This window comes from Homo sapiens, chromosome X (genome assembly GCF_000001405.40).
Source record: "Homo sapiens chromosome X, GRCh38.p14 Primary Assembly".
Taxonomy (NCBI): Eukaryota; Metazoa; Chordata; class Mammalia; order Primates; family Hominidae; genus Homo; species Homo sapiens.
Window position 1 is genome coordinate 80,791,390 of NC_000023.11, and position 26,539 is coordinate 80,817,928.

Consider the following 26,539-nt stretch of genomic DNA (forward strand, 5'->3'; position numbering starts at 1 on the left):
ATGTCCCAAGAATAATTTGAATGAGACGTGAATTTCATTAAACTGGAACCAAGAAAGGTGACTTTTTGTCTTAATACAGACATATAAAAATGTATAACATCATTATAATTTTGGAAAACAACACATATAAATAATGTACTTTTGTTTGGGAAACTCAGCACATAGACATGTAAATAGACAACCATATGGCTAAAAACGTCTATACTATATTAAAAAAGAAGTTTCTGCTAAGAAAGAAGTGAAATGAAATGAAATAAAGAAAACAAAGATCACCTTTTATAAAACATTGTATTTGCTTTAAGTAAAAATGTTTTAAAAATCTGGACTAGCCATGAAACTCCTCAGGAATGTAAACAGTTTGTTTATGCTTCCAATTTAATTTTGGTACCTATTTTTGTCTTCCTAATGAGTTCAGGAAGGAAAGAATCAACAATCTGTTTATAACACACAGGTATATTACTCACCCACATTTGGAGGTTTCACATAATTTACAGGTAGTTCTGGAGGTCTGCCTCTATGCAGAGCCGCAAAAGCAGACCCATTCCATAGTGTACTCTTACAGTCTATATAAAAAGAACAAAGGTTGCTAAGGAATAGAGCAGTTTTTTTTTTAACCATGTCTCAGAAGCAAATGTCTGATTTTAATTTAATTTGTTGGAATACATTTTTAATTATTAAACCAAAATGAAAATAATAGGCATATATTTGAACATGTTATAAACTAAATTTATAACTGGTAACCACCCAACACCTTAACATATCATCTGGATATTTTATTTCTAAGCTAGTCTTGAACTAAAGCTTTTTTTATGCACATATTTGAATCTTAAATAAATATGTCACAGATTAATAAGCTTTAAAGTTTACATCAGTTCTTCTTGATCTTTAGGCTTACACGTCTATTCATATAAAACCGTATAAGCAAGGATATAACTATAGCACAAGTATGCCAGGGAAAATTCAGGCATATTTATACTTGGGTACATGTTCGTATTATGAAATACTTGCCAGTTGTGTCATAACAGATAACAGCACTGCATATCAGATGGTAACTGGTTATAAATAGCTGTGTTTTTTTCTCTTTCATGTTTAAGTCAAAAAATGTAAGGAAATATTAAATATTACTAATAACTTGGCTTTAAAACAAAAACCCAAAAGCTCTCTTGAAAGTTTCCAAATAAACTCAATTAAGAATTTCCTTAAATTATAAAATGAGATGCTTAAAATCTGGTATCATTACACAACTATTTACCTTGGAGAATTAGGATTTTTTAAAATAGTATGCTAATTAAACAAAACATAGAAATAAATGGGCTGCTATACCTTAAGTATTTATTACTCCAATAGGCATCTTTAATGCCTAATTTTACATTTTTATGTTTATCAAATACCACTTTATGTTTGACATATTGAGGTTCCAGGTAAAACTTGGGAAAAATCTGTAAAACACTGAAAATCAGCTGAGTAGAAAAGCTTATTTAACAATTACTGAGGCCCGGCGCAGTGGTTTACGCCTGTAATCCCAGCACTTTGGGAGGCTGAGGCAGGCGGATCACGAGGTCAAGAGATCAAGACCATCCTGGCCAACATGGTGAAACCCTGTCTGTACTAAAAATACAAAAATTAGCTGGGCGAGGTGGCACGCGCCTGTAGTCCCAGCTACTCAGGAGGCTAAGGCAGGAGAATTGCTTGAACCTGGGAGGCGGAGGTTGTGGTGAGCCGAGATCGCGCCACTGCACTCCAGCCTGGTGACAGAGCAAGACTCTGTCTCAAAAAAAAAAAAAAAAAAAAAAAAAAATTACTGATAGGTTGATATTTTTGCTTAAATATGTTCAAATATTAAAATTGTACATATAATTTTGATTTACCTGTTACGAAAAGTACAATATCATTAGGATGACATTATCAAAACTAATAAAGAGTAAGAACATTATAATGAAAGAATATTGTAAGTATTTATACTGTATTAATCAAAGCAGGAATCTTTGAGATCTCTATTCCATGATTACAAAGGTATTTTATATTCTTTACCTATATATATTCACTTTTACACAAAAGGACTCCTTTTTAGGTCTCTAAAAATTTACTTGTACACTAAGAAAACAAAAACAACATTGGCAAGATAAGAAAAACTAGTATTTAGAAAAGCATGGGAACATTTACTCAATCTAAAAATAAGCTACTCTCCACTCCTTCCTCTGATATCACAGTCCTAAATTCTGAAAATCTCACCTTTGGCATCCCGTAGCAGAGACTGCCGACCAACACCTAATAATGTCTGTACCCCAGGAACACTCTGAGGGATCTCTTTATCTAGTAAAGGACCAATTCTCTCACAAATTTTAAGGAGGTAGTCTGGAGGAATGTGTGCATTTGCTGCCACCTAAAAAAGTATAAATAAAACACAGGAAAAACACATTTATTTGGTTTAAAAATATAAATCTATTCCACTACTAAATTGTTCCATTCATTATAGAGCAAAGTACAGTTTTAAAATATGGAATCAGGCCTGGGCGCGATGGCTCACGCCTGTAATCCCAAAACTTTGGGAGGCTGAGGCAGGTACATCACTTGAGGTCAGAAATTCGAGACCAGCGTGGCCAACATGGTGAAACCCCATCTCCACTAAAAATACAAAATTAGCCAGGCGTGGTGCTGCACGCCTGTAATCCCCGTTACTCAGGAGGCTGAGGCAGGAGAATCACTTGAACCCAGGAGGTGGAGGTTGCAGTGAGCCAAGATTGTGCCACTGTACTCCCGTCTGGGCAACACAGCGAGACTCTGACTCAAAAAAAGAAATAAAAAAAATAAAAATAAATAAAATATGGAATCAGAGCCGGGTGCAGTAGCTCAGGCAGATAATCCCAGCACTTTTAGAGGCCGAGGCAGGTGGATGGCTTGAGCCCAGGAGTTTGATAACAGCCTGGGCCACACAACAAAACCCCATCTCTACAAAAAATACAAAAATTAGCTGGGTATGGTGGCTGCACCTCTAATCTCAGCTATTCGGGAGGCTGAGGTGAAAGGATCACTTGAGCCCCAGAGGCAGAGGTTGCAGTGAGCTGAGATTGCACCACCACACTCCAGCCTGGGAGAATGAGAGAGACCTCGACTCAAAAAAATAAAAATAAATAAAAAAATATATATATATCTCTATATGTATGTGTATAGATATATATTTTCCATATATATATATTCCATATACATATGGAATCAGGAAGAGAATTTTTAAATATTTAATAATTGACCAAATTTAAGAAACAGTCACAAAATCAGCACATTTAAATGATATGACAACATTTACATGGCATGGCACTCTAATATACATTTAAATGTCTTAATCAAGTCATTTGCTTAGCTGTTAATCTTATGAAATAAGTGTTACAAAGCAACTAACATCCCAAAATCAAAAAAGCACACAGGTGATGAGTAAACTCTCTATTACTTGATTCATTCAGTAGTGACGAACTGATCCAAAATCAGAAGACCTAGATTCTATACAAATGATAAGAATACAAGTGAAAGGTATTACTTGCACCAAACCCACAACCAATAAAGCAAAACTGTTTTTCCTATTAAAGTTAACTTGTTTCCAAAAGGGTATAAAACTAACAATGTTATAAATACTATGCTTTAAATAACTCAGCTATGTAGCCAAAATTCCTTGAAACAAAAACTTGTTTTTAAAAAAACAAGTACAATTCTGGACATTAGATACCATATATAGATAAGAATGAAACTATAAAACAACAAAAATCGTGTTGCATTTTTAATCTAAGCTAATGTACAAATCCCTGAGGTGTTTCATAAATACTTAATTGTTAAAACAATAAAAAGAAAAACCAGAATATTAAAAACCTTTAGATAAAGTGAACGTCTACATTCTCATCTTGAAACAGGTCCTAAAATCTACTTCTGGCTACAATGTCAATTTTTATAAGTGCTATAATTGTGTATATATATACACACACACACACATGTGTATATATACACACATATATACATATATGTGTGTATATTCAGTGGTATATACACATATGTATATATACACGTATATGTATGTGTATATGTATAGATACCTATGTATATCTATACATGTATGTGTATATATGTATATGTATGTATACATATACATATATGTGTGTATATATATGCCATTGAATAGGACACACATCAATACTATTACCACCAGGTCAATCAAGAACAATAGGCTGGGAACGGTGGCTCATGCCTGTAATCCCAGCACTTTGGGAGGCAAAGGTAGGAGAATCACTTGAGCCCTGCAGTTTGAGACCAGCCTGGGCAACATAGCGAGATCTCATCCCTACAAAAAATGTAAAAATTATGGCTCTGAATGAAAATAAGTGAAAAAAAAAGAACAACAACAACAAAAATTAGCCAGGCATGGTGGCACGCCTGTAGTCCCAGCTACTCGGGAGACTGCAGTGGGAGGATTGCTTGAGCCCACGAGGTCAAGGCTGCAGTGAACTGTGTTCATGTCACTGCACTCCAGCCCGTGGGTGACCCTGTCTCCAAAAACAAAGAACAACAATAAAACACAAAAGAATAATTTTCTAACGCATCTCTGGTGATCACCATGAGAGAAGATATTTTGTGTGTTTTTTTTTCAATGATGTATTCCTTGCACCCAAAAAAGTGTTGGGCATAAAGCAGGACTAAATAAATATTTGTTGAATAAATGAATAAAAATCAAAGTAAAGTCTAACTATAATCAATGTTTTTGTTTTTTTTTTTTTTTGAGTCGGAGTCTCGCTCTGTCACCCAGACTATAATGCAGTGGTGCGATCTTGGCTCACTGCAACCTCCGCCTCCTGGGTTCAAGTGATTCTCCTGCCTCAGCCTCACGAGTAGCTGGGATTAGAGGCACAAGCCACCATGTCCAGCTAATTTCTGTATTTTTAGTAGAGACGGGGTTTCACCATGTTGGCCAGGCTGGTCTCGAACTCCTGACCTCGTGATCCACCCGCCTCAGCCTCCCAAAGTGCTGGGATTACAGGCATGAGCCACCGTGCCCAACCTAATCAATGTTATTGTAAGAATTCCTGGAGAAAAAATCTCAAATTCTCGTATCAGGATGCCTTTTTTGTTTTCCTAGGAAACACAGGTCAAAGAACCACAGTCCAACATGTATTCAGAATTCTGGTAACATGAGTGAATCACCTGTGATTATTTTTGTTTTAAATTATATCCTGCTATATATCTTTGGTAAGTTCCTTCAAAAAAAAACAATTTGAATCTACCAAAATAATTGAAGCCTGTGCAACTGTCATGATGCTCCGGAAGAATGGTAATCAGATTATTTCAGATTTGCATCTCCAGGGTTTAGCATCAGGACAGAGGATTAAGTAAATTCTTTCCATTAATTCTCACATCTTTAGTTTTTCTTCCAAGCAAACAACTATACAGAGCTATGTTTCAGAAAAATATAGAGGTAATATTAAAGTCAATGCAGCTGATGATTCAATCTAAAAAATACTTCATGGCTGGGAACGGTGGCTCATGCCTGTAATCCCAGTACTTTGGGAGGCCGAGGAGGGAGGGTTGCTTGAAGCTAGGAGTTCGAGACTCGCCTGGTAAACATAGCACCACCCTCATCTCTACAAAAAATAAAAATAAAAATAAGAATAAATCATTTCCTATCATCTACAGAGTGATATCCTAAAATCCTAGTTTATAATTCATACCCTGCACATTCAGGCATTTCCTAAATATGACTACATGCAAATATAATTAGTACCCTTAAAATATGTATCTGGAAAAAAAGTCTTAAGGTGCTGCATATTAACAACTGTAACAGCTTATTCCTTTTTTCCCAAAACTGTCTTAGATAAACTGGGCTTCTGTTATCAGCCATTATTTTTTCATCAAGTAAATGCTGTAAGAGGGCTTTTACATAGAGTAGTAGTTGACATTTTTACTGGTAATTATTTTTTTTAATCCTCTGGACCAACTCAAGATATTCAGTTGTTACATAAAAACTTCACTTAACTACCCTAGAAATACAACACATTTAGCATATACAATCCAGAAAATGGGAGTTCTATAATTAGAATTTTTAGAGTTACCCTCCTATAGAAAGAAAATTTGTTGGAGTTACATCTTAAACTGATATCTTAAGCTCCCTGGCTATTGCATTTTATAGAAACAATGATGTTTGATTTTCAGCTAATTATATAAAAAGTTTTATCAATCACTCAGTAATAATTCAAAAATACAGAATCATTAATGGTTACAAATGAGGTCTATATATTCAGCAAATACAACTTACTCCTAACTATCCCTTTAAAGACTTGTACAATAAACAAGTTTGACTTTCACTCTATACAATAGAAAATTGCTCGATTTCTAAGCAGTTACATTGAAAAAGTCCTTTGCTCTAAAATCAATAAAAATTTGATTATATGGCCGGGTGCAGTGGCTCATGCCTGTCATCTCAGCACTTTGGGAGGCCGAGGCGGATGGATCACAGGGTCAGAAGATGGAGACCATCCTGGCTAACACAGTGAAACCCCGTCTCTACTAAAAATACAAAAAATTAGCTGGGTCTGGTTGTAAGCGCCTGTAGTCCCAGCTCCTCGGGAGGCTGAGGCAGGAGAATCACTTGAACCCGGGAGGCAGAGGTTGCAGTGAGCCGAGATCACGCCACTGCACTCCAGACTAGGCGACAGAGCGAGACTCCACCTCAAAAACATAAATTAAATAAATAAATAAATAAATAAAATATGATTGTAACACTAGAGAAACAGATTTGATCAAAATAATGGCAATAACAATCTTTTGAGTTTAAACATGCTAGTTTCTCCTTCAAACCACATTAGCAGGCTTCCAAACTATATCGATGTAGTTCTTAAAATGTTTCTTCTAAATCAAACTTTAGGTCTTATAAGGGTAGTTAACTGCTTACTTGAATCTGTTTGCTTTTCATTAAAGCTGGAAATTTTTAAAGGTGATCTTTTCAAAATAAGAACTCTTACCCCGAATAGTTTTTTTTTTACATTTTTAAATAAATCTATATTGTTATATCATAGCCTATAAAATTCATGTCTTAATATTATAAACCACTCTTTTTGTTTAAAGCTCAAACATTCTAATTTCAGTCATTTAACTACATTTATCTCTCTGGAATATAATGGCTGACTCGGAACAGTTAAGTGCTCTGAGGCCTGCAGAAGAAAAACATTCTCTATAAACAAAGTTTAAGTGTATAATACGGGGAAAAAAAAAAAAGAGTATAATATAAGGCCAGGTGTGGTGGCTCACGCCTGTAATCTCAGCACTTGAGAGACAGAGATGGGAGGATCACTTGAGGCCAAGAGTTCAAGACCATCCTGGGCAACATAGTGAGACCTCCATCTCTACCAAAAAAGGTTTTTGTTAAGAGTATAATTCAAACTTCTATATTATTCTATAAAACAGCTCTAAAAGTTAAATTATAGAATCTCTGAAATGTAAGGATCCCTATGTATAATCAACCTAACCCCACACCTTACAGAAGAGAAAACAGATCCAGAAGTGCCTTGTCCAATTGTTACAATGAAACAATACAGGAATCTGGGTTTCTCTGCCCACTCCTCTTTCTACTACTGTCCTCTTAAGGCAGCTGAAAAATTATAATGATAGCAATCATTAACACAAAGCTGCAAAGCAATGAAAACTGTAAATCTGAATAAACTGAAAGACATTAAATTAACCCTAGATTATAAACCTTCTTGATAGTTAGACTGGCTGACCTGAAGAGCAAATCTAATAACTGAATTACCATACTTCAGAATCATTATGACAACTGAGAAAATCAGAAAACTCACGGAGATGATACTATTCATCATAATTAGTTAAAAGAAATCCAGCTGGGCACTGAATAAAATGTAAAAGGTAGCAAATCTCAGGAGGCCAGGACTGCACCAGGAGCTACATTCTAAATACTAACTTTCAAACACCAAAAATATTTGTTTACCCTGGCTTTTAAAAATAATAGTATCAGACAAGTAACTCTAAAAAACAAATATAGCAGAGAATACGCTATTTGTTTTCCAAGACCATGGCTACAGAAGTTAAATGAAGAAGCAAACTGAGATTGCATGCTCAAAAAGTAAAATGTAACATTTTGCCTGGGTCTGATTGGTTGATTGATTTAGAGGACAGAACAGGCATATACAAAAGTTAGTCATGTAATCTTTTGCTCTTTAGGGACAGAAAACAAAATGGATTTTGAAAAATACAGCAAAGCTTTATATCAATGTAAGTGTACTACAGAGATAACAGGGTACTTTGAAGTCTGAGAGCCTGGAACTAAAATTTACTAGCTGTTACTCTTTTTTGGCAGTATGATCCAGTAGAGAGACTGATTTGAATCTTTGCAGCATCCCAGTTACTACTTATATGACCTTAGGCAAAGTTTCTTAGCCTCTCTGAGCCTGAACTTCCTCATCTGTAAAACAGTAATGATAACTATCTACTAAAGTTCGGTTAGGACAAAGACAGTCATCCACTCATGCATTCATTCAGCCATTTAAAGTATAGGAAAGCAATGGAAAGAAGATTAAATTGCTGCCCTAAGGGAACCCATAGTCTTAGAGGAGCAAACAAAATAGTAAATAGAAACAAATTAAGCTGCAAGTGCCCAGAGGTCAGTAGAGAACTAAGGAAGCAAAGAAGTAAGGTACACCTAATTTTGCCTAGAGGTTTAAGGGTTCATGTCCAGTTTCACCCTTGAAAAATATAAGAAAAGTTCACAAGACAGAAAGGGAAAGAAGGGCATTCCAAGCAAAGAGAAAGGCACCCCAACCCAATACAATTCTGCATGGTAACTAGTGCATAATATCTCCTTATTAAGAAGGGCTTCTTTTTTTTTTTTTTTTAATGAAAAACCCCAGGGTACAGTGGCTTAGGTCTGTAATCCTAGGAGGATCGCTTGAGCCCAAGAAATCAAGACCAGCCTGGGCAAAAAAAAGTGAGATCCCATCTCTATAAAAAGTAAAATTATTAGCCAGACATGACGGTGCATGCCTGTAGTCCCAGCTATCAGAGGCTGAGGTGGGAGGATTGATTGAGCCCGGGAGGTGGAGGCTGCAGTGAGCCATGATCGAGCCACTGCACTCCAGCCTGGGTAACAGAGTGAGATGCTGTCTCAAAAAAAAAAAAAATACAAATACAAATACTTGTACAAAAAAAAAAACAAGACTGGAAGAAAACATAAATTAACTGGTTTTTCTCTTTGAACATAAAAGAAAACATAAAAAATTAACTGGGTTTTCTCTTTTTGATGTCTACAATAACCTAAATCAAATGCTGTGTTTTAATGGTTGCTGAATTTGAAAGAGAAGTGAAAAACCGGGCAGGGGAAAAAAAAGAAAAAAAAGACAGCAGGCAGGCCTTTCCCTAGTTGCTCTTACAAAATGTTAAAACTTCCTATCACTCACCTTTGAAAATGCTAATCATTATGCATAGCATTTCTTTTTCTTTTTATTAGTTTTAAGATTTCCTCAAGAAAGAGACCACCAGAAGCGACCCTCCTAGGGTCAAGTATTCTCTGGCTTACACTGCCTCAAGAAAGCACTGAAAAGCACTATAACCTGAGGGCAGATGAAATTAAGACAAGGACAGGGGACCCACCCACATTCTAGTAGGTGCTCAGTAGAGAAAAGTCCAACAAAAGAACCCAGTACCAACTAGCAGATAAAATAAACCAAATATATATATCTATATATATCATGCTTCTAAAAAAAGTTAAGAAAACCACAAATAATTGAGACCCAGCTAACTATAAGACACAATGGCGGATACTAAGGGGCATGAGAAAACATCTTTTTTTTTTTTTTTTTTTTTTTGAGATGGAGTCTCACTCTGTCACCCAGGCTGGAGGGCAGTGGGCGAGATCTGGGCTCACTGCAACCTCCGCCCTCCAAATTCAATGGATTCTCCTGCCTCAGCCTCTGGAGTAGCTGGGATTACAGGCGCCTGCCACCGCGCCTAATTTTTTGTATTTTTAGTAGAGACAGGGTTTCACCATCTTGGCCAGGCTGGTCTTGAACTCCTGACCTCATGATCCACCCACCTAGGCCTCCCAAAGTGCTGGGATTACAGGCGTGAGCAACCGCGCCCGGACGAGAAAACATTTTAAACAGGGTAACTTAAAATACGAGAAATTAGGCCAGGTGTGGTGGCTCACACCTGTAATCCCAACATTTTGGGAGGCGTAGGTGGGCTGATCACTTGAGGTCAGGAATTCAAGACCAGCCTGACCAACATGGTGAAACCCCACGTCTACTAAAAATACAAAAAATTACGTGGGCATGGTGGTGCATGCCTGTAATCCCAGCTACTCTGGAAGCTAGGGCAGGAGAATGGCTTGAGCCCGGGAAGTGGAGGTTGCAGTGAGTGCCACTTCACTCCAGCCTGGGTCACAGAGCAAAACTCTGTCTCAAATAAATAAGTAAATAAATCTCAATAATATATAGAAAATAAATTCAGGATACAATCAGAAGGGTTGAGAATCCCTGCAATAAGACATATGAAAGACTCACAATAAAATTCCCATTTGTTTAAAAAAAAAAGTGAATACTACACCAGTGTTACACTGGCATTCATAAAAAATGCATATTACACTAAATATCTTTTGACATACATTCATGTTTGTGTTAACACAGAAACAGCTCACTCATTCTGAGTTCAATTCTGACACTAACATTTTAAATATTCTTTTTTTATAGTACTGTTTTATATGCCCCTTACTTTATAAAAATATTAAGGGCCAGGAATGGTGGCTCACGCCTGTAATCCCAACACTTTAGGAGGTTGAGGTGGGCGGATCACTGGAGGTCAGGAGTTCAAGACTAGCCTTGGCCAACACGGTGAAACTCCACCTCTACTGAAAATACAAAAATTACCCAGGTCTGGTGGCGCACGCCTATAATCCCAGCTACTTGGGAGGCTGAGGAAGGAGAATCACTTGTACCTGGGAGGCGGAGGTTGCAGTGAGCCAAGATCGCACCACTGCACTCCAGCCTGGGCGACAGAGCAAGACTCTCATCTTAAAAAAAAAAAAAAAAAAAAAAAAAATTAAAAATTAAGAAAATTAGGGGATGATATCTCATCGACTAAGAAAATATAACATCTGGGGTCATAGTTCTCCAGATTTCCATGCTGGCTATTCGGTCTCTCTATCCTAATTTTAAAATGTAGCGAACAATTCATTTGCACAGCATTTTACAATTAACAAAATGCATTCTTTCACATTTAACTCACTTGTTCCCCACAATAAATGGGAAATTTTCATTTTATAATTGAGGAAAGTCAATCTCTGAGAGCTTAAGTAATTTCCCTAGGGTCACTCAACAAGTAAAGGCTATATTCCATACTAAATATTAGGGTCTTTTCTACTACTCACAAAATCCCATGTAAGAAATGTCAAGCAGGCCAGGTGCGGTGGCTCACGCCTGTAATCTCAGCACTTTGGGAGGCCGAGGCAGGCAGATCACGAGGTCAGGAGATCGAGACCATCCTGGCTAACACGGAGAAACCCCGTCTCTGCTAAAAATACAAAAAATTAGCCGGGCGTAGCGGGCGCCTGTAGTCCCAGCTACTCAGGAGGCTGAGGCAGGAGAATGGCGTGAACCCGGGAGGCGGAGCTTGCAGTGAGCCGAGATTGCGCCACTGCCTTCCAGCCTGGGCGACAGCGCAAGACTCCATCTCAAAAAAAAAAAAAAAAAAAAAAAAGAAATGTCAAGCAAGGGCATCTCTAAATTATGACACAAACACTAAACTACCTTTTTAGAATACCATTTTGCTGCCTACCAAAAGGAAAGTGTTTATTAATCAATCAGTAATCAACATCAGTAGTAAAACAAAAACTAAAACACAGGAACTAAAACTAATATTCAAATGTGACAAAGATGCTCAGGACAAAATTTCATTAAGGCAAGTTCACTGAATCCAAAGTATTAGTCCCTAACACCAGCTCTCTTCACTTTCACAGTATCTCATTTGTACTGAGATACCAGTTATCCTAAGATTAATGATAAATCTCCAAAAGGATTTTAAATCATTGAAAGTACGTTCCTTAGAGCCCATCTGTGGAAAAAAAAATGCCAAGGATCAATCTAGACAAATCGCTAAAGCCAATATATTTCAGAGAGCGCGTGGTGGCTCAAGCAAGTCAGTAGTCAGGAGTAGTCAGGAATACCGATTTCCAGATATTGACCTCTCTCTGTCATAATACCTATCAGTTAGCATTATATGCACAATACACTGCACTGGGGTTGAGCAGAGCATGCTTTTTGATATCCCATGATGCATCCTGTTCTTCCTAACTATGGCTATGTCCACATGGCAGTTAATAAATCAAACATGCTTAAACTGCTTCCACACTTAGAGATGCAATAACTATGCTACCAGCACTCAAAGATCATTCTGCTATTCTAATTGACAATTTAAGCTATTATTAGTAATTGGAGAACAACAGCTGGTTAAGAAAAGAATACAGGTATGTCTGGAATTTAAATACAGTGTTTTAAAGTACTTGGTGAGGATCAAATGAGATAATGTGAAAACACTTTTAAACTTGAATGTGTTATATGCAGATGCAACTTCTTATAACAACATATAATCATAGATGTATGTATATTTTTTAAGGACAATAACAAACAATCTTTATAAAAGTTTTTCATAAAAAACATAAAATTACTTCTAGTATTTTGCATATAAAATGAGGGTAATACAATCTATGTCATTCCAAATGTAAGCGCTAACTGGTGCTTTCAGTTTTAGAGATGAAAATGCGAAATAAATGTAAAACTATATACCACACCTAAACACATTTATAACTTTGGTTCAGTCTTTTTTTTTTTTTTTGAGACAGAGTCTCAGTCACCCAGGCTGAAGTGCAGTGGTGCGATTCCAGCTCACTGCAACCTCTGCTTCCAGGGCTCAAGCAATTCTCATGCCTCAGCCTCCTGAGTAGCTGGAATTACAGGCATGAGCTACCACACCCGGCTAATGTTTGTATTTTTAGTAGAAAAGGGCTTTTGCCATGTTGGCCAGGCTGGTCTTGAACTCCTGACCTCAAGTGATCCGCCTGCCTCAGTCTCTCAAAGTGCTGGGATTACAGGCATGAGCCACCACACCAGGCCCTGGTTCAGTCTTATGATACGAGACTCCTAAAAATGATTTAAAAATCTTAAAATGTGGTTTTTAAAAAGTTTCCAAATCACCATTTCAATATATAAAACTTATAGATTAACAAGAACTGTTCATTTAAACACACACAACCTTGATTACTCTGTTGTCCCCAGTAAAGCTCCAAGGAGGAAGCAATAAATTAGCCAACAACTCAATAGGGTCACCACAAATGAAAGGACATCTGTATTATTTAAATTATCTACCTTAAGATGAATTGCAAGAAGCAAATCTTATTCTATTATGTGGTCAGTAACAGCCAACTAGGAAGCAGAAAATAAAGTGCCCAGATGAAAATTCAGAAACAATCACAACTTCAAAATTTTCCCTCTATCATTACTTAAAATTCTGGAAAATTTAGAGTGTTATATTTTAAATGCCATATTCAAAAATCTTACAGTTCAACATAAACTGACCAAAATGCTTCATCATGTACAGATTCTTTTTTAAATGACATTTCAGATCAGGATACGTCAATACTTAACTGCAAGCAGCTTTAATAAAAAAGCACCTTCCCTTGTGTTCAAAATTACAAGTAAAACACTAAACACTAAATCAGATGACCGTTTCAGAAAACAGAAGGCAAGGATTTCTAGAATATGTAATTTAGTATAAACACTGAATCAGATGATTGTTTCAGAAAACAGAAGGTAAGGATTTCATTACTACTACTAACAGTAGTAATGAAATGTTGAAGAAATTCAATTTATCATTACCTTAATATTATTCTGATAAATTAAGCATTAATGACAATCAGTTCAAATGAAAGTATACATATGAACAAAAAGGCAGGATTTTTGTCTCATATATGCAGTATACGTGGCCATGCAACCCCTATTTACTATGTTGATATCCTAGTTAACACTTCATTGTACATTTGTACTCTTTCCTTTTCATACCCCAATACACCTTAAGTTTGTAATGCTGCTATATAATGTAATATTCCAGGTAAATCAAGATGATACTATTAATACTTTGCCCTAAATTTCAATCCAAAACATGCAGCTAAATCAAAGACCACACTTTATAAATCTATCATTCCAATAACAATTTAAAAAATACCTACCCCAGGCCGGGCGCGGTGGCTCATGCCTGTAATCCCAGCACTTTGGGAGGCTGAGGTTTACGAATCACGAGGTCAAGAAATCGAGACCATCCTGGCCAACATGGCGAAACCCCGTCTCTACTAAAAAATACAAAAATTAGCTGGGCGTGGTGGCGCGTGCCTGTAGTCCCAGCTACTTGGGAGGCTGAAGCAGGAGAATCGCTTGAACCTGGGAGGCGGAGGTTGCAGTGAGCCGAGATCCCGCCACTGCACTCCAGCCTGGCAATAGAGCGAGACTCCCTCTCAAAAAAAAGAAAAAAACAAAAACACCTACCCCAAGAAAAAGTATCCCATCTCTTCTACAATGCAGCCACTCAAAATCAGGTCATATGTGAAATAATTTTAATCAAAAATATTACTGACAAACTTAGCAATCAAACCAACACTGCACATTCACTTCTCAGCCACTACACTTCTGTTCAAATTATCACTCAACCCTGCCCATCTTCTCTTACAAAGAAGTCCATAGGTAGAGAACAGACATGTAAAAGAAAACCATGGTATCTAAACTATAATGTTCAAACAACAGAACAAACTCTGTGTACGTAAAAAAAATAGAAAATATAAAAACAGAAAAGAATATTTAAAAGATACGTTAAAATTGAGTATATGTAAGAATTAACAATTTTATTTAATTCCTTAAAGGTTAAGCCTCACTAGTAATGAAAAAAAAAGAGCTACTTAAGTCAACCAGGAGCTATTGCCATCTATTAAATATTAAAGAAACTGAATGATTTAAAGCTATTAAAAAACTCACTCTAAATACCTAGATGATGACATTATAAATTAGTACAATCTTCTGGAGAGCAAACAATATATGACAAGAGCTATAAAACTCATGAGACCCTTTGACCTGGTAACTCCACTTTAGGGAATAAAGTCCAGGAAAATAACTGGGGGCAGAAGGGATAGGGGAGAAAGTAAAAAGCAGAAAAAGACCACCTAACTATGCAAAGTTATTAGTAAAAATCTGGAAGTAGCTCAAATGCTCAACTGGAAGCTTGGTTCAAATCATATCGTACCTTAAATACAACTGAATTTTTTCTTACCATTAAAATAATGATGACTATTCAAATACACAAGTACATTTTTAAATGTTAAGAAAAATATGAAGCATAAAATGGACACTGATCACAATTATGTAAAAATGTCTTTACAATATGAGGAAAAGTCTAGTAAACTGGGTTGTTGGGGTTTTTTTGGTGAGGAGACTATTTTTTAATTACTTTGATTTTCATTTCCTTTTTATCACTGTCAAGTTAGTTTCAAAAAAGCTTTTTCCTTTTAATCTCCTTTGCCACTTGCTTAAAATAACACATATAGGCTGTGAGAAGGACAAATGTAAAGGAAAACATTTTCAATACACCTCAGTATTAAAACTATATATAAAAACCTGTATCAGTCATTAAGTGTTAAAACATATTAGTAGGCACTGTTGTTTTTGCCTCTTTTAGGGGGAGGGAAAGACTTAAGTCCAACAGAAAGACTGACTACAAATTAACCTGGCAGTACATGAAGTTTTTCAAAACTAATTTTTCTCCATCTGAGAAATTGTTACTATTAATAATACAGATGGTCGAGTTTACCCTTATCACAATTATACCATTTTCTGTGATTTGCAAAATATAAGAAAACTATACAGTCGGTAGACTTGATAATAATAATGTGGCCTCACTGTTGTAAGATAACACAAACAAAAATAACAAAATGAACATTGAAGCAATTTAAATATAGTCTTATTGCAAGCAAATTTTAAATCATTTATATTTAGAGTCTATCATACACCGCCAACTTTCTTTAACTTTGTCCGATTTTCCTCCACTTGGATCTTACTTGAAGGAAAGATAGCTGAATTTAGATTTTAGTAACATCATTCCTTTCTCCTTTCACTACCCTCCAATGCACTGTGGCAGCAGCTAACACAAGGGAACCTCCCCCGCAAAATAAAAAGGATCACCTGTTTTTGTGTGTCAATGCTGAACACAAGGTACATTTATACTATGAATTATATTTGCAGGAGAAACAACATAGACCAATGCCTTTGGTCCTTCACTAAAGTATATTCCATTTTTAAATATGTCCATTGTTGTCTCCTTGTAAACCCAAAATCGTGTTTCACCAATTCTCAAAAAGTGATAACTCAGTTTCTATTTAGTGAAAACGGGTCTATGCAAATGCGACTTAACTGATAATTGAATGAGCTTATAAAATCGGAGATACGTAACGATTATGCTTTTACTCAGTAGACCATTACCTAACCGGCAAAATTTGAAATTGGCTTGACGCTCCTTATTATTTTTAATTATGTCGTTTTTCCTAATCCCTGGTCCGTCAATTCCCCTCCAGAGCCCCTTCCTCCCACGCCTCCCCCCTGCCCCCCCGCCCCCCCCAAAAAAGACCAAGCCTGGCCTTAGTTCCCGTATTTCAGGCCAGGACCAACCAGAAACCAGTTTTCTTCCACTAATCCGGAACTCCGGGCTGTTACCAACGCTGTCATTGGCCAGCGTCAGACCTTAGTACGTGCCCCAAGATAACCCCTTGGTTTCTCTCCCTTTTCCGCCTACAATGGGCCTTCCCCAATGTTTGTAACATATTCATAATCCACAACACGGCACCTCTGATAATCAACTCACATTCTTCAAAGTTTTCGGGTGGAAACAAGCAGGGCCAAGGGGAGGGCAAGGTACCCTTTTTCCGACTAGCAGGGATGGGGGAAGGGGCAGTCGTTCTTTGGCTCTGCACCGAGCTCTAGAACCTCGTCGGCTGAGAGGTGGGGGGCGGGTTGGGGGTACAAGGTGGGGAGGGAGTGGTGAAAGAGTTAGGTTAAGTTGAAATGAAAACTTTACTCACCAGATCCTCGAAGCTTCTTCGGTGCTCTTTCCCCTCCCAATCTAAGCGGCGCGGAATCAGCTGGGGGCCGGACGAAAAGAAAGGGGGAAGCGGAGGCAAATGATGAAGGAAAAGCCTCCGCTCCCCATCAACTGGACCCAACCTGTGTCCCAGTCCTCAACACTTTACCGTCTTTATTTCTCTCGGCCTGATAGCTATTGGCTCAGAGCTAGACAAGTATATGGGGGGGGGGGGGAAGGGGGGTCGAGAAGGAAATCCTGAAAAACTGCCTCCCACAAGCATAAAGCGGGGACGAGTTAAGACCCCAGCGTTGTCTGCCCCTTTTGAGGGAAGAAGCCAATTCACCCCGGTGACAACAGCTACGGGTACCCAGATCGAAGCCTCTATCCCAGCCCGTCTTCCGCCCCTGACTTGCCCTCCCCTTCCTCCAGTCTCACCTCAACCCTCCCCACCCTTCCCGAAGGGGCTCCGTACCTGATGCTCCTCGAGCTCCTGCACTAGCACCTGAGCAAAAGGGAAACACAGATATGAGGAGCAGCTCGGGCCATCAACCCATTCCTCCCTCCACACTTAAAGCCCAGCCGCTGACCGTTTGACTAGTCAAGGCCGGCCTTTCCCTCACCCTCAACGGAACTGCTCGTCCCGCTGCCTCGATTTCCCCACTGGGACCATTCACCACGACTCCCAGATCTCTTTCTTCCCCTTACCTGAGCGGATTTGTTGCAGGGTCCAGACTGCAAGAACCTAGCGATCAGGTAATACAGCTCTGGGGAAGAGGGGGGAAAAGAGGTTCAGAGGGAGGTAGAGAAGAGAAATAGAAGCTTTTTCAAAAGAAACTGACAGCCTTCGCGCTAAGCCCCCATTCCCTTAGCACCCCCCCACCCCCCGACACAGCTACCCACCGGCTTCGATCTGGGTAGGTGCTGCCGCCATCCTTTTCCCGAGGGGGTTTGGGGGCTTCGCTCCGGAGGGGCTGGCGGGGGCGGGTGGGGGCGCTGCCTCTATTGTGGTGAAGCCCCCATGCCCGGGAGTCCCGCCGCTTCCGCCGCACTCCTCGTCCTAGTTTCGCTCTCTCTCGAATTCATCGCATCACGTTTCGACCCATAGATATTCTAGCCCAAGAGCTGAGGAGGCGGAGGAGGAAGGAGAGGAGAGGGAGAGGGAGAGAGAGAGTGAGTGAGTGAGAGAGAGAGAGAGAAGAGAGAGAGAGAGAGAGGAAAAAGAGAGAGAGAGAGAGAGAGAGAGAGAGAGAGAGAGAGAGAGAGACGCGGGGGGTGGGGGGGCGGAGAGAGAGAGAGAGAGAGAGATAGACGGAGCGAGAAGAGGGAGGAGCCGAAGTGGCGAAGAGGTGGGCGGGGGCAAAGGGGGTGGAGAGAGGGGAGGGTAAAAATGGTGATAGGGTTTTGCAGCGCTCATAGTTCCCCGCTAGAGGCACTAATACAGCAGCTGAGCCTAGACTCTCCCGGAGCCCGATGGTTGCTTAGCTACAGCTCTGGGAAGGAGGGGGAGGTGCTAACTGACGGCCGACGCTCTGGCAGCCGCCTTGGAACTCTGTGGTGGCATTCGCGTCTGCGAGCTCCGGAGTGACTTTCCCTTCCTGTGAAGGCAATCCGGCCCTTTCCGGTGGAGGACCCTTCCCCCTGGGTTGATCTTGAGGAACTTAAGAGACGGTGTTTTGACTCGACTCCTTTCCCCTTTTTCCTCCCGGTACCAAAGCGGTTTTGTTTGCTGTTTATACTCTACCCCGTGGAAAGGCGGCTAGCTGGCTAAAGGGTTTTATGCCTGGGGGAGGATGAGTCGCTATTTGGTCGTGACTTGTTTCTGTTTAAAATTATTATTATTTACCAAATGAAAATGTTGTACTTACCAGTCCAAAGTGCGGGGCTTATATTGTTAGAAGACCACTTAAAATGCTCCTGGATTCTGACAAATATTGCATGAGAAATTTGCAATCAGCCGTGAAGCATGTTTCCCCTTCTGAAAGTTTAACACGTGCCGTATCTACGGCTGGGATCTAACACATCCCATTCCTACAGGGTAATTTCCTATTGTGTTTTCAAATACTACTAAAGTACTTTAACCAAGAGTTTTCAATAATCTTTATGTATTATTGCCTATCTCTATGCAAGGTATCAATAGTTTTCTACAGGTTCGGGACTACACTGTTTAATATATAACCCCAACCCTTGGTACCGCACTGACCTTCAGTATTTGGTTGCTGAAATCTTCAATGATGAAAGGGGTTGGTATGATAATTGACACAGATTAGTAAACCGGGTCCTTTTCTTCCCTACTTTCCCGTAACATCCTGTCCCCACCCCACTCCCTCACCTAAACCTGATGAGACCAGAAATGCATTTTAAGTTGCATGTATTATTTACATTGAAATATTACAATTTGAAGGTTCATCTAAATTTAAGGCTATATTCTTGGGAATTGGGTTTCCTCACTCAGCTCTGCCACTGACCACAGTGGGCCTTGAATTTCTAAGTTGACATAAACTTAGCCTAGGTTGATTAGCTCTCACTTGTAATTTTTTTTTTTCCTCAGAAAGCAATAACCACAGGAGGTAATTGTGAAGTGATAGGCTTATCTTTGGTTGTTATTGCCATGGAACTTGACAAAACAAATATGAATAATTGATACAACAAAATGATATAAAAAGATACATGAGACCTAGACAACTCATTGCAAGTAGTTTAGCAAAATACCAGACTGAATAATTTTATAGTTGAAGTATAATGTACAGGTTGAGTATTCTTTATCCAAAGTGCTTGGGACCAGAAATGTTTTGGATTTTGGACTTTTTCAGATTTTGGAATATTTGCATATACATAATGAGATATTTCAGCTATAGGACCCAAGTCTAAATTTGAATTTCATTTGTTCCATTTATACCTTATACACATAGACTGAAGATAATTTTATATAATATTTTCAATAACTTTGTGCACGAAACAAAGTCTTGACTGCCTTTTGACTGTGATCCTCCACTTGAGGTCAGATGTGGAATTTTCCATTTGTGGCATCATGTTGACACTCAAAAATTTTGGATTTTGGAGCATTTTGAATTTTGGATTTTTAGATTAGGGATGTTTGACCTGTATGTAACAGTTAACACTTAACAAGCCATTATCATGTCCTCAGCACTTTTACGTGCTTACCTCATTTAATCTTTACAATGACCCTAGGAGATAGGTTCAATTGTTATTCTCATTTTACAAATGATAAAAATGACTATGAATTTGGTCCACTCACAGCCTGTGAACCTCATTCCTCACCTGTAAAATGTGAATAATAAATAGTATTTGCCATGTCTACTTCAAGGAATTGTTATAAAATTCGTGTGAAAATGTATTTGTGTACTCTTTCAAAATTTATGTGGCAGTTATTCCATGATCACCTCTGTATCAGTCAGTTCAATTATTAATGATAACAGGAAATTGGAATAATGAGGGCTTAGCTAGCAAGAAGTAAAGAGAACTCTAAATACTACAGATGTAGCAGGTATATAATAGTAGATATGATAGCCACTACCCCTGGAACTGAGATAAAGCATTCTCTTCCCTTAGCTGAGATCCAGACCTTCTTAGAGAGAACACAGCCAGTGGAGAGTCACTCTATGGCAGGAAATATTCTGTATTGCCTTACAGGCAGAACTTGCTGAAACTCCAACCTCTGGAAATTACTGGAACCCTGCATTCTAGAACTTGCTGGAAACCCACCCTCTGGAATTGGCCTGCTAGAGTGCCTGAGAAGGATGTTCATAGGGAAATGTTTCAGCAGAGGAACTCTACTACAAAAACCACAAGAGGGAGGGTGCCAGGGGAAGTGGCCTGGTGCTATTGAAACTGCAACACAGAAGCCAGCCACTGGAGAGAGCTGCACAAGCTGCAGGAACACCCTACCCAGTAAGCCGGCCAGAAGGAGGGAGCAAAACCTTTTCTCTCTGCAACATCTTTCCAGTTTCCTCTACTGGAAAAGCTTCATTGCCAGCTGACAAAAGGAAAAATACTTAAATGGATCAGATCCATTTTCACAGAGCAGTCAATAATGGTGAATTTGGAGATGATAAGCAACAAATTGATGAACTGGCACAACTTCCCTGCTACTTTCTTGATTGTAATGCCTAGATAGGGAATAGGAAAGTTATTGAAATGTATGTGTTCCCATGAAATGTGTTTATTTGTTGTTCAAGATCAATACTAATAAATGGGGACTAATGTTCTGAAGTATTTTGGAACAATTAGAATCACCACTCTTAACCCTGTGGCCAAAGTCTTAAATGGACAGGGAGGAAAATGTTTATAAACTGAAGCAAAAATTGATCTACATAGAAAATAAATCTGGAGTATTTACTTGGTAGGTATACTAGTTTCCTAGGGCTGCCATAACAAGTTATTACAAACTGGGTGGCTTAAAACAACAGAAATTTGTTCTCTCACAGTTCTAAAGGCCAGAAATCCAAAATCAAGGTGTTTGCCAAAGCCATGCTCTAGGGGAGAATCCTTTGCTTCTTCCAGCTTCTGGTGGCTCCTGGCATTACTTGGTTTGTGAGAGCATAATTCTAATGTCCGCTTCTACCTTCATATGGCCTTCTTTCATATGACATGTCAAATCTTCCTCTCCTTTTTCTTATAAGGACACCAGTCATTGGATTTCAGGCTCACCCTTAAGCCGGGATGATCTCATCTCCAGAACCCTAACTTAATTACATCCACAAAGACCCTATTTCTAAGTAAGATCATATTCACGAGTACTGGGGTTAGGACATGGACATCTTTTTGGAGGACACAATTCAATCCACCAACACATTTTTATTTTACTTTGGTCTTTAAAAAGAATAAGCCGAGTTCAGTGGCTCATGCATGTAATCCCAGCACTTTGGGAGGCCAAGGCGAGCAGATCACTTGAGGCCAGGAGTTCACGACCAGCCTGGTCAACATAGCAAAACCCTATCTCTACTAAAAATACCAAAATTAGGGCCGTGCGCGGTGACTCACGCCTATAATCCCAGCACTTTGGGAGGCTGAGACGGGCGGATCACGAGGTCAGGAGACCGAGAACATCCTGGCTAACACGGTGAAACCCCGTCTCTACTAAAAATAAAAAAAAATTAGCCCGGCGTGGTGGCGGGCGCCTGTAGTCCCAGCTACTCAGGAGGCTGAGGCAGGAGAATGGCATGAACCCGGGAGGCGGAGCTTGCAGTGAGCCGAGATCGCGCCACTGCACTCCAGCCTGGGCGACAGAGCAAGACTCCATCTCAGAAAAAAAAAAAAAAAAAAGCCGGATATGGTAGTGCACTCCTGTAATCCCAGCTACTAGTGAGGCTGAGGCATGCCGGGCGCGCTGGCTCACGCCTGTAATCCCAGCACTTTGGGAGGCCGAGGCGGGCAGATCACAAGGTCAGGAGATCGAGACCATCCTGGCTAACACGATGAAACCCCATCTCGACTAAAAATACAAAAGATTAGCCAGGCGTGGTGGCGGGTGCCTGTAGTCCCAGCTACTAGGGAGGCTGAGGCAGGAGAATGGCGTGAACCCGGGAGGCGGAGCTTGCAGTGAGACGAGATGGCACCACTGCACTCCAGCCTGGGCAAGAGTGCGAGACTCCGTCTCAAAAAAAAAAAAAAAAGAAAGAAAGAAAAAAAGAGAATGAAGAATTGCTTCAACCCAAGAAGTGGAGGTTGCAGTGAGCCAAGATCGCACCCCTACACTCCAGCCTGGGCAACAGAGTGAGACTCTGTCTCAAATTAAAAAAAGAAAAAAATCACATTGCAATGGAATATAAATGTTAAAAACTTAATGGTTCTCCCTAGGAAGGCAGAAGAAAAGAAAAATGGTAGGAAATACTGAGACGGAAGAGCAGAAGTGTTAATAAGATTAATATAACAAACTAAGTAAATAGTTGCTTCCTTTTATTATTTCAGCTTCTTTAAAAAATTGTATAGAGTAATAATTAAAATAATGTATTCTTATGTTTAATATATTACATACATCATAATATATTAACATATTTTAACATATTGCATGGATGTAATATGAATAATAATAATGGGAAAAAAGAGACACGATAGAGCTATAAAAGCGTAGCATTTGTATACCTCAAAAGAGATGATATAAACATGAAGTATAAGGCTGAGCATGGTGCCTCATACCTGTAATCCCAGTGCTTTGGGAGGCCAAGGTGGGAGGATCGCTTGAGGCTATAAGTTTGAGACCCGCCTAAGCAGCATAGTGAGAACCCTGTCTCTGCAAAGAAAAACAAAACGGTGAGGTGTGGTGGCATACGCCAGTAGGTCCAGCTACTCAGGAGGCCGAGGTGGGAAGATCACTTGTGCCCAGGACTTTGAGGTTGCAGTGAGCTGTGATTGCACCACTGCACTCCACCTCTGGGAAAAAGAGCAAGACCTTGTCTCTAAAAAAAATTAAATTAAATTTTAAAAATTGAAGTATATTCTGATAAGCTAAGAAGTATATGGCAAACCATAGAGCAACCACTAAGAAAATTTTTAAAATGTGAAAAAAATCATCAAAAATTTTACTAGGATATATTTACTTAGTACAAAAGAAAGCAGGAAAGGAGGAATAGAACAAAAAAGACATGAGATATCAAAACCAAATTAATATAGATATAATTCCACCTACATCAATACTAACATTACATGTAAATGGATATATGCCACTTCTGTCATGACAGCATGAGGAACTTTGTGAACCAGCTCACAGTGAAACTGGTGAAAATTATATAAACAACCATCTAAAGTCTCTGGAAATGTTTCTGATGACATAAAACAAATGAAAAATCATTTATTCAAGAAAAAGCTACTAAAATTTTAAGGACAGTGAAAGTTTGTGGTAAATGAACCAAAACCCACTCTTCCAACCCTGCCTCCAAGCCCAGTGAAGAGGTGAGCTCTACTCTAGACTGAAACATCCAAAAATACAAGACTCCTTATTCCTCCTAGATCTCAGTTAGAGGGCTATCTTCCTAGGAGGAGCAGGACATAACCATTTCTCATGCTTCCCCCAATTACCTGTTGCTGAGGCTAAGTTCTGGTTTAGTGTGGCCAAGAGGTGGTGGCTCCTTTTTTCCACCCAGCCCCTAACCATAGGACAAAGCTAAATCTTGGGCATTGGTGCTACTGAGCATACTGGGGCATCGATCTCCCTGACCCTGGATTGAGTGAGGAGCAGTAGATGCATTCTAAGAGAGGCAAGCTAAAAAGATTAAGGGCTATTGTCTCCTTCCTCCACCAAGCACTCATGTTCTCAAGCAGAGATATCAGAGAGAATTATGCCATTGTTCCAGTCTCCAGGACCAGAATTGTGGCTCAGAGATTCTGCCCTAAGGGAAAGGTAGGTCTTAGAAGAGAGAGCTCTGAATCTCTCCCTAAAATAACTGACTTTATTTGCAACTGAGTGTGGAAAAATTCAAGCCTAAGGGTGCTCTCAAGAACAAAGAAGGTTATGGTAAAAGAAAATTGGGGGAAATTGGTAAATTTATTAAAATTATAGGCTAAACTGTAGGCCAACCAGTTTGCTGGAGAGAAAACAGAGAGAAAGGGCAGCAAAAAAGTCCTCCAAGAGTCAGAGCAAGTCTTAAACACTAACCTAAGAAAATATTCCTACTAAGGTGCCCAAATTTGATTGGATCAGTCTGTGAAGCAATTTGTGCCCCAGGGTGTTGTCGAAAACAAAAGAGCAATCAGCCGGTAATTAGCGTGATTTAAGAGCTGGCTGTGGTCAGGGAAAGAGGCAGTTAAAGGGAGCCCTGCCAAAATCAGTGTTATCCCAGGGTGATTATGTGCCTACCCAAGGCTGTACCCCCTGAGTAACAACATCAGCAGTTTCACACAATGAAGTTAACAAGCACACAAAAATAATAAGACCTGGAGTGGGAAGAACAAGTACCCAGGGTTGGTACAATATATTATCTAAAATAACCTAGTTTCTAACAAAAAATTATGAGGCATGCAAATAAACAGGAAAGTATAAACTATACACTATACACCAATACCAAAAGAGCAGGCAACAGAAACTGCCTATGAAAATTACCAGATGTCAGATTTAGTAGACAAAGTCTTCAAAGTAACCATGATAAATATATTTGAAGGACTAAAGGAAACTATTATTAAAGAAATGAAAGAAGGTACGATGTCAATGTCAAATCAAACAGAATATAAATAAAAAGGAAATATTTTTAAAAATGAAATAGAGATTCTGGTGTTCAAAAGAACAATAATTGAAATGAAAAACTCACTAGAGGGAAAAAGAGTCCATTCGAACTGGGAGAATAAAGAATTAACACACTTGATAACAGATTAATAGAGCATATTAACTCTAAAGAGCAGAGAAAACAAGAATGAAGAAAAATGAAGATGGCCTCAGAGAATTATGGGATATTATATGCACCAACATATGTGTAAGGGGACTATTAGAAGGAAAGAATGAGAAGGAAGCAGAAAAAAAAAAGAAATAATGGCTAAAAACTTCCCAATTTATTGAAAAACATTAATCAACACATGCAGAAAGCTCAATGAACTGCAAGTAAGATAAGTGCAGAGATCCGCAAGCTGACATATTATAATAAAAATGCTAGAAGACAAAGAGAAAATCTTGAAAGCAGCAAGAGAAAAATGACTCATCACTTACAAACTTACAAAGGAAGATTAAAAGCTGACTTCTCACCAGAAACAATGGAGGCCAGAAGGCAGTGTGATAACATACTCAATGTGCCCAATGAAACCATTCATTAAACAAAAGTCATATATTCAGCAAAGCTAACTTTAAAATTGAAGGTAAAATAAACTTTTCCAGATAAAGTGAGAAAAATTTGTTTCTAGCAGACCTACACTACAAGAAATACCAAAGAGAGTTATTTAAGCTGAAAGCAACTGAATCCAGAAAGTAATTCAAATCCACACGAGAAACAAAAAGCAATGGTAAAGATAGTTATGTAATTATAAAAAGCAATATAAATGCATATTTATTCTCCTTTCTTAAATTATTTAGAAAACAATTTTATGAAACAATGTGTATGTAATGCATAGTTCACCCTATAACGTATAGAAATATTATGTATCTGCCAATAACAGCAAAAAGAAGATGGATTGGAACAAAGCCGTATTGGGGTATGGAAGTAATTCCAGATGGCACCTTAAATCCACAGGAACAGATGCAGAGAACAAGAAATGATAAATAGGATTAATATAACAAGGCTGGGTGTGGTGGCTCACACCTGTAATCCCAGCACTTTGGGAGGCCAAAGTGGGCAGCTCATCTGAGGTCAAGAGTTCGACAACAGCCTGGCCAACATGGTGAAACCCTGCCTCTACTAAAAATAAAAATAAAAAAATTAGCCAGGCATGGTGGCACACACCTGTAGTC

General features: G+C 38.9%; 1 protein-coding gene and 1 long non-coding RNA gene across 7 annotated transcripts in view, besides 2 other annotated features; one reads left to right on the top strand and one right to left on the bottom strand.

The window, feature by feature from the left end:
• BRWD3 (bromodomain and WD repeat domain containing 3) overlaps positions 1-18,488 on the bottom strand; it is a 140,375-nt gene extending 121,887 nt beyond the window's left edge. For all 4 annotated transcript variants that reach the window (NM_001441339.1, NM_153252.5, XM_047441957.1 and 1 more), the window contains exons 1-6: positions 18,052-18,488; positions 17,857-17,915; positions 17,624-17,653; positions 17,150-17,209; positions 2,233-2,383; positions 465-563 (exon numbers count right to left, since the gene is read on the bottom strand). In NM_001441339.1, the coding sequence (NP_001428268.1) occupies positions 465-563; positions 2,233-2,383; positions 17,150-17,209; positions 17,624-17,653; positions 17,857-17,915; positions 18,052-18,082 (430 nt within the window). In that variant the 5' untranslated portion in view covers positions 18,083-18,488. The remainder of the gene's footprint in view (positions 1-464; positions 564-2,232; positions 2,384-17,149; positions 17,210-17,623; positions 17,654-17,856; positions 17,916-18,051) is intronic.
• Positions 17,419-21,381, top strand: LOC124905202 (uncharacterized). Of its 3 annotated transcripts, none has more exons than XR_007068278.1 (2): positions 17,419-17,904; positions 20,722-21,381. It is a non-coding gene; the product is annotated as an uncharacterized LOC124905202 (long non-coding RNA). The 3 variants fall into 3 exon arrangements; XR_007068276.1 differs by lacking the exon at positions 17,419-17,904 and adding an exon at positions 18,764-19,186; XR_007068277.1 differs by lacking the exon at positions 17,419-17,904 and adding an exon at positions 18,764-18,856.
• Positions 18,723-18,802: an enhancer, noted in NCBI's record as "active region_29790". NCBI's record gives its function as "activates an Ori minimal core promoter by ATAC-STARR-seq in GM12878 lymphoblastoid cells {active_cell/tissue: GM12878}" and the evidence as "EXISTENCE:reporter gene assay evidence [ECO:0000049][PMID:35858748]".
• Positions 24,387-25,135: an enhancer, noted in NCBI's record as "OCT4-NANOG-H3K27ac hESC enhancer chrX:80071275-80072023 (GRCh37/hg19 assembly coordinates)". NCBI's record gives its function as "activates a minimal SCP1, AML or CMV promoter by ChIP-STARR-seq in primed H9 embryonic stem cells {active_cell/tissue: H9 hESC(primed)}" and the evidence as "EXISTENCE:reporter gene assay evidence [ECO:0000049][PMID:30033119]".